This window comes from Homo sapiens, chromosome 11, assembly GCF_000001405.40.
Source record: "Homo sapiens chromosome 11, GRCh38.p14 Primary Assembly".
Taxonomy (NCBI): Eukaryota; Metazoa; Chordata; class Mammalia; order Primates; family Hominidae; genus Homo; species Homo sapiens.
The window spans coordinates 109,433,908-109,443,329 of NC_000011.10; positions in this window are offsets into that span (position 1 = coordinate 109,433,908).

Genomic DNA, 9,422 nt, shown 5'->3' on the forward strand with positions numbered 1-9,422 from the left:
TGAAGCAGCTGCAATAATCCTGTGACAAATGATGAGGGTTTGAACCAATGGAGATAGGGATGAAAAATAAGGGCATATTAAAGTGCATGTTAGGTTACGGAACTGATGGGGTTGGTGATTCATAGATGCATGGTGTGAGGGAAAAGAGCAAAAAGGGGAGGAAAGGGCAGAGAATAGATTTATGCTTTCTATTTTGTGGCTCAGAGTAACCCCAGTTGGGTGCTGCTTATCTGTCATGACTTGGTGACAAAGTTAATAAAAGGGAGTTCAAAGGAAGCTTCTGGGCTTTGCTGGCACAGCCTTTGATGAGTTTGTCCCCAGACCACGTTCAGAATGTGGTGAAGCCTAGCACTATGGAGCAGTCTGCAATTTGCCGTGTGAGCTTCAAGAAGCAGCACTGTCACCATCTTGTAGTTCCTGGTAACTGCTACTCATAGTCTGTCATGTTGAAGGAGTGCTCCATATGTCTGGAAGTGTGTGTTCTGACATTAGCTGCTAGGCCATTTGTTGTAATTCTGAGGCATGCCTGCATAGAATCATGACATTACACAGGATCTAGTATAAACCTCACTTTACTCTTTTGGAATAAAGTGATTGGATAGGACCCCATTGACAGGAATAAGAATCAATATGCTGCTGAGAAGGAACCCATGGTGTTGAAGATGTTGAAAAGACAACACAGTCAGTAACGTGGAGAAATGGCCTGGGTTCAAATCTTGGCTCTGACACTTGGTAGGTATGAGACCTTGGAGAAGTTTCTGAACCTCTCCATGCTTCAGTTTTATGAAGGTTTATTGTGTGGTTTAAATTAGAAAACATGCAAATATCTAACAATAGTGGGCAATGAGTGTACGGTAGTCCCTGTTCTGGCTTCTTTTGTGAGGAATGGTTGGGGAAGGGCAGGAGTAATTTTCTGGTAGATTATTAATAGCAAACTCATGTTCTTTGTGCTCTAATGTCACATTCTAATCTCTAGCAAGGTGCCTGGCACGTAGCAGTTGTTTAGTAAAGATGCTGAATAAACAAGTGAATAAATGGATTGTAATCCTATGGACATATCCCTGATAAAGTACTCTGGTACTACTGTAAAAGGAGTCTTGCCAGAATCACTCCAGCAAAAGAAAGGCAAAAAACAACAGTATATTTGTAAGTCATCCGTTTCACTTGACTTCTGGATGGCATTAAGAGTGGCATCATTGGGATCTTTGGCATTGTTCAATAATCTATATCTTCAAGGAATTGTTTGGCAGATGCAGCATTTCTCCCCTAGCCTGCTTCTCTACACTCTGCTTGGCTGAATAGCCCAACAAAGCTTGCTTTTGGGACCCAAGCCGTAATACTTTTCATAGCCAGTACAGGAGCAGTGAGTCAGCCATAGGAACTGAAGCCAAATGGACATGTGTTGAAGGAAAAGGATCAGGTAATCCATCAGTCACCTGGCATTTGCTCAAGTCTTCCGCACTGAGGGAGATGCTAAAGAAGGCAGGGTTCCTTCTCTCAAAGAGTTTATGACTCAGTTAGGGATAAAAGACTTTCAGAATGAAATAATACAAGAAAACCAAGGTAAAATGGCAATTAGAAATAAAAATAAGCCCACACTGAGTGAACACAAACTGATCATTGATGATGCAATCTTCTTTTATTCTCATGTCTAGAATGGGAGCCCTAAGATTCTACTTACTTGTAGACAGAGAAATTCGCATCTGACAGCAGGATTTGAAGTTGAGGCAAGGAAAGGTCCAGGTTCTGTTCCTTCTGACTGGAAAGCATGTCACTGTCTCTCACTGGTTATGAAAACAACAAGCTTCTGGTAGAATTGCCACAATGCATCATTCCTCTTTTTAATCCTTCCACCTACCCCAGGGCACTCATATAGTCTCCAAACTGCCCAGTGTACTGCTCTGTGACCCACTCCCACTTGAAGGGCTGCCCTCTTATATTTAGGTTCATTATCTCTCTCTGAACATTCAAAATGAAAGTGTGCCCCTGTCATAGTAGCACCTGTGACCTACTCCTTATCTTCTCAGGACCATACTCTTTGCAACATTGAGCATGCATATTTGGCATTAATCCGCAATAGTGACTCAATGATTTAAGATAATTCTCATTTTCACAGAAGCCTCCAACACCTTAGGCAGGAGGAGATATTTTGGGGCACAGCTTTGGTTGCAGGAGGGTTGATGTGAGTACCCTTCCAATTCAATCAAGGGAATGACTATTCCCTGCTTAACTCTGCCTTTAGCAGCCAAGACCCAGGACATTTAAGACCTACAGAGTTCTCAGGTCCTGAAAAAAATGTAGCTCCCCAATCTATCCCTGCCATGTGATTTAATATGAAAACGATATAAAAACTGAACAATAAGGAGGTACATGACTAATAATGTTTTAATCTTAACCATGGCAATTATTTTAATGCCTTGTTAAAATAAGTTTTTATATTTTTCATGCTCAGTTTGCCTGATGGAAAACCTAGCTAGCATCAAACAGACCTTATGGAGTGACTTGGAAGCCTAGTGTTGCCTTTAGAAGATCTGATGGCTCATATTATCACTGAGGGACTGGGTGTGGAAAGTTTACCAACCAACCCTCTGAAGCTGCTGAGCTCAGCCCGAAGGAAGGGATATTGCTGGCTTCACATTAACGTGGTCCCTACTGTGCAAGACCACAGGGTCTTTGCAGGCCTGTTTGACACTGATTTCTACACACTTTCATTCGGGTTTGAGGGCCACCTTGGCTATGTGGACCATGAAAAGAAGCTCATTCCTGCAGTCCCTAATCAGTAGGCTTTTTGCCTCTTTGGAGGCCCGAGCTTCTCAGCAACTATTCCAAAGCAATCAGTCATCACTGAATTAGACTGCCTCTGGGTCACACCACCTGTTGGGCCTTCGGTGGAGTCTGCTCAGCCTTCACTATTTTTCCAGGAAGCCATCTGTACAAGATTTTTTTAAAAAGTTAGGGGCTCCAGGAAGGCCCTGTTTCAACACAGCAGAGAATGATAGACATTTGTTCTTTTTCTTTATTAAAAAAGAAAAGCATCAGCATTATTTTTAAAAAGGGACATTTTAGCACATATTATGAACTCTCTTATCCAGACACAAGGCGGGTGCCCTTGTTTACACCTTTTCTGTATCCAGCTAAAACATCTCACTTAACATTCAGAGTAAACTTTCAGGGTTTATTATTCCCATTTTATAGATAAAGAACTGAAGCTCATGGAGATTAAGTAATTTCCCAGGTCATCCATCTAATAAGTGACTGAGTGTGGATTGAATTATAGTTTGCCTAACTCTAAAGCCTCTGCTCTTTCTTCTCCATGTTACCAGACAAAAACACCATCCCTGTTACTTTTTCTTATCAATTTCAAATAAATTATTTCCATGAAACTGTCTAAGCACCCCTTAAAACTCACGTTTAAAACAAAAAACAAAGCACAACAACAATGTATGTAGCTGTCAAGAGAACTTCTTCTAGAGATATAGTACAGGGACCCATTCATATGAGAATCTGAGAGGAGAACAGAAAAGGGAAGGAAGATTGTCAAACCTACTAAATCTATAGGTTACTTGGGCTTGATCCAATACTTAGTGAATCTGAATCTCTAGAGGCAGGTCTCAGGAACTTGTATCTTTATCAAATTTCCCAAGTGATGCCAATACAAACTGAAACCACTGTTCCAGAGGGATGCCTGAAGAGGAAGAATGAGGATCTGGGGAAAAATTTCTGTACATTTTCTCAAGATTTGAATGGGAAACGGCTGTTTTTCAGGACTCTATGGAGTGCCATCCAGTGCAATGCTCTTTAACTATTTTTTTGTTATTGTGGAAAAGAGATGTTGTTTCTCTCTGCGCTTCCATGTAGCAATGGAATTGAATGGAATGACCTAGCTTTTTCAGGTCTGTTCCTTTTTGTTGGTATGAAGGAAACAACAACAAAAAATCTCATGTCCCTCAAATCTTCCTGTAAGAGTCAATAGATCTGGCAAGGTCTCTCCTTCCAAAGACAAGTAAATGGAATTATGCAGATTGGATTGGCAAAGTAATGACTCCTGAAAAAAACCCAAAATCCACAGCCACCCACCAAATTGCATAAAAATGGAGCTGTGGCCCAGAGACAATACATTGCAGTCCCACATGCAGTTAAATAAAATGCTGCCAATACAGCTGCTGGTATATCACTGTAGCCTATAAAATAATCATTTACTTTTTCAGGACTGAAGAAGGTCATATACTTTATCAGAGTACTGTAAATATTATTCTTTTTTAAGAAGCCAAATATAAAGGAAAGGGGAAAAATCAAATAAGGCTTAAGAAGGTAGGGCCATAGCTATCATGTGTTTGAATCAGAGATTTGAACTTTATTATTTAGAAAATGATGTAAATCAGATGATTAGAGACATTTCACTATCATCGAATAACATAAGCTTCCAAAATGATGCTAGGAACATTACATTTATTATTTTTTTTTCACTCTTCACAAAATTCTGTGGGGTAGGGATTGTCCTCACCCGTGTTTTGCTGATGAGGAAACTAGGTGGAGTGAAGGTAAACTACTTGTCTGTAGCCACAAGGGAAGGGCTCTGGCCCTGGAGCCCAGTACTGAGCTGCCACTTCATGTATCTCTATTCTGGGAGATACATTCTATTCTTGCATTATGTCTGCTCTTCCCTTGTTTCTTTGCTAACATCAGAGCTATGCCTGCTCCAAAATGCTATATTTTTCTCTGTGGTTGGCTGCCTTTGTGAATGCTGACTCTAACCAACCTCTCTTGCCACCATTGAAAATGGCCTATAGCAAGGAGTTCAAAATCCTTCCTAGTTCACTTACCCTACTTGTCCTTACTTTCTGATGGAGAATGAGCTCACCAGGTGGCAGATGACCCATTGCTGAATTGCAGTAGAATATGATTAAGAGCATTAGGTCTAGAGTTAGACTACCTGGGTTTGAAACCCCACTTCCATTACCTACTAGCTGTGCGAAAATGATTTGGGGCAAGTTACTTAGCCTCTCTACTCCTCAGTCTCCTAATCTGTAAAACAGGGAGGAGAGTAAAAAGATAATGAATAAATATATGCTTATAACTGTGATTAGCACAAAGTAAATGCTCAACCTATGTTGTAGTTGTGTTTTTTTGTTGTTAAATATTAGTAATTAGAAACTTTGAGCCCAGCTATGTGTTAATGTGTAACAATACCCAAACAATTCACAACAAAAGAAACATAAAGAAACTTTCAGTGACAAAACAAGAAGAAATTCAGTGGCTAAGAGTGTGGACTCCAAAGCCACACCACCTGTCTTCAAATCCTAGCTTGTCCCTCACTAGCTGTGTGACTTTGGGTGACTTGCATAACTTCTCTGTGCTTCAATTTTCCAATTTGAAAATAGTGAAATAGGAATGTTATGAAGACTGAAAACAAGTTAACATTTCCAAATGCTTATAAAAGGCCTGTTACATAGTAAGAACTGCCTAGGTGTTTATTGATAACAAATTTAAACAATACTGATAAAGCCCTTTCTTGAAATGGTGGAGTTTCTAACCACCTCTTATATGTATATGGCCACTATAGCTTTGCCAGGTGTTAAAGCCCAAATTGCTGGTGAATTCTGGTAATGAGCTAAACTCAATTTACACACACCAATTTTTAGCAACCCTTAAGTTAAAGGCCTCAGTGGCTTACTCAGTCATTTATAAAACTCACATCATAAAAATTGATTTATCATAAGAACTGAAAAAAGGACTTGCATTTTTGGATCATTTTTCCGACCATCAAGAAAACTCTTGTAGCCCACTGTAAGCCACAGATGACATGTTGAGAAATTTGGGTCTGTGTAAACTTCCCCTGACAGTGTGAAAATTTCCCTCCCCTCCCTGGGAAACATGCAAGAAGGGCAGCAGCATACACAAGCACTCACTGATGGACACTTGGCACTGCTGTGGCAACTCCGACAAGAACATCCTTCAACAATGTTTCATGCCAGTTAAATGCCCAGTGGAGCTGAGCGTTTGTGTGAGCACCTCTCCAGGACACAGAAGGAAGTATTTGCAGTGCCAAGTGCTTAGACTTTGGAGTCAGTCAGGCCTGTATTAATTCCTGCTCCATCCCTCACCAGCCATGGGACTTGGAGCAATCCACTCAGATTCTCTGACTTTCTCACCCTTAAAATAGGGAAAATAATACCTACTTACAAAATAACTTTGATAAAGCTAACTTTGATACAATTATTTTTGTTAAAAAATGTATGCAGTGCATCTAATACAGCAACTGAAATACAGATTATGTTTCCTCCCGTCAACAATGATAGCTACCACTTATTGTATAATTGCTAAGCACCCAGGCACTGTGTTAGGCACTTAGGATGCATTATTTTCTTTCCTTTCCATGAGGTCCTATGAGACAGGTTCTACTAGTTCCTTTTCCTATAGATGGGGAAACTTATGTTAGGCAAGGGTAAAAATCTTACCTAAAGTCACACGGCTAGAGGCATGTAGATGCATGGTTTGCTACTGGGTTTGTCTGATTCCAAACTCATGCACTTCCTCATCCCTTTTAGGCTACCTTCCCCCCATCATCCCCCATATTTTGTTAATTCCTTTAGCCCTTCAAAGGCAACCACAGGACATCAGAGATGACCTACTCTTAAAGTAACTATATAAACTACAATATTAGTTATCCAAAAATGTAGCCCAGGTTACTTGTTCATCCTCAGGACATTAATAAAGTTCAAGGCAGCTGGGCGTAAGTAGATCAAAGCCAGGCAGCAAACCTGATCGACCCTGTTGGATGCAGTTTATCTTCCAAAGGATAATACATTTGGGGGCCTGACCTTCAGCTCTCCTTATCTTGTGGTTTTTGAAATAACTTGTTTCAGAAACGGTAGGCTGAGTTTTACTATCCACAACTGGTTTGGAGGAATACCATTGGCTTAGTCTGAGATTTCTCATTAAAGCTTTAGCACAAGATCAACACTAATATTTTCATTCATTTTCTCGCAGAATGAGGTCTCCAAACACCCTCCAATATCTCACTAGGCATGTTAGCACTTCCTTGATTTCTAATTGCTTCTTTTTCTATTAGTAAATCCATGGAAGGCTGATGGGCCTCCAACTTAATATACCTGGCTATTCAGTGAAGCATTGCTTTTATAGTTTTACAAGAGTGGCTCATTCAAGCAGGGAATCTTCTTAGGAAATGGGTTTCACCTACCCTAGCTTAGGAGGGATACACAAATAAAACAGCAGCAATTCTAACGCCAATAATATGGGCAATGTTCCCTAATGGGCTTCAGGATGTAAGCCATTTTTCTTGCCCTTGAAACCAGGATTAAATTGGCATGCACAGAACACACACTGGCACATGTCTAATTCTGTGGGATTTTTTGCGTTTCTGGTTAAGAATACCTTTGTGCAGAAATGAGAATCTTTTCTTCCAAATGGTCTGAGGATATTTAGCCTCCCACTCTGGAGGTAGGTAGATATTACTGCCATTTTAAAGAGATGATCTTAGGAATGGTAGATATGCTACCAAGTATGGATCATCACTTGATATCCTAATAGTCTACCACTTCTGTCCCCATTAAATGGGTCCAATACATCCATACAAGCTGGGTGCATATTTCTCAGCAGCAATGCTCTTCAGATTGCTTCAGGCCAACTTCCACTGACTTGTTCTGCTCTTTCTCACTTGGCCCTTCCTTCTGTTCACAACACACTCCATGTTGGCCACATGCTATGGCTCCTGCTCGCCCTTCTAACCTTTGAATACATGACCCTAAAGTTCTAGTTTTGTTACCTATGGCCGATGCTGTCAGTTCCTCTCCACATCCCCTTGACATTTGTATTCTTTACGTGTGGATGCCTCTTACTGAAAGCACCATAGCTCTGCCTGAGCAAGTTCTTAGACTGCAGGAGCGTGCTGAGCTTCCTCCCATAGTAAGCAGAAGTCCCAGGGAGTTAACATCCCCACAAAGAAACCATCACCAATGACAGATTGGTGGGTAAAACCTCCAGCTTCTTTGCCCCTAGAATAAACCAATTCTGAGACGTGTTTTATACAGTCTCCCCAAGATTCTCCTTGACTCAATTTCCCCTCCCTTACTGGTACTTCCTGGAATTTTCTTCTAGATAAATTTTACTTAAGTCCTTATCTCAGCTCCTGCTTCTTGGGGTACTCAACCTACAATACCATGCCAGTTTTATTTATTTTTTATTTTTTTGAGACAAAGTCTTGCTCTGTCGCCCAGGCTGGAGTGCAGTGGCACAATCTCGGCTCACTGCAACTTCTGCCTCCTGGGTTCAAGTGATTCTCCTGCCTCCGCTTCCTGAGTAGCTGGATTACAGGTACCCGTCACCATGCCCAGCTAATTTTTTTATTATTATTTTCAGTAGAGACAGAGTTTCACCATGTTGGCCAGGCTGGTCTCAAACTCCTGACCTCAGGTGATCCACCAGCCTTGGCCTCCCAAAATGCTGGGATTACAGGTATGAGCCAATGCACCCAGCCCCATCCCAGTTTTACATGTGAGCCTCCTCCAATGCATGACTTTATATCTGCATACTGAGACCCAGGGTAAGAGATACCCAGCCCTCAAGTCCTACCATAGTCCTGTGAGAAATGCCCCAGTCAGACCTCATCTTCACCCAGGATCCTCTAGGCAGGAGGATCTTGAGATGTTACAATTAACTAAATTGATGTGGAATTTCGTTATTTATGCAAGTGAATATGTTAAGTAGGCAGTTTGTGAGGAACTTTCCCAAATTACCTGGTCATTTCAGCAATCATTTTTGCAAAAAAATGGCTTGGCATGGAGAGAAAATACAATGTCATGGTTAAGAGCCAGGGCTCTGTAGTCACATAGAACTGGATTCAAATTTTGATTCTGACTCTTGTCACCTGTGTTATCTCAGGGCAGAGTAACTAACCTTTCTGGGTCACAGTTTCTTTATCTACAAAATAGGAATGATAATAATAGAACCTATCTCAGAGAATTATTATAAAACTTAAATTCTATAATACTAAAACCCTTATTATAGAGGCTAGCAAATTGTACATATTCACTGCATATTAGAAATCATTATTCCCTGAGGTATAATATACCATAACATGTCCAAAGGCATAAAATAGGTCATTACTATGCCCTACTTTTAAAAAGAGAAATGTCTTTCAGCATAAACACACAAAATAAAAGATTTCCTGCTACCTAGTAAATGAATCTTGGGTCGGGGGAGCAAAATAGAATCCCTTTGGATTAATGCATCACTCCTTATTTTAGGTTTGGTGCCCTGTAAGCAGAGCCTGACATGGCATTGTTATGCAAGTGATTTATTGCAGGAGAGTGCTCAAGTGAAACCTCAGAGAAAGAAGCTAAGCAAAGATGCCCATTCAGCTGTGCCTAGAACAAGCCTAATCCTTAATCCCAGGGAGCTCT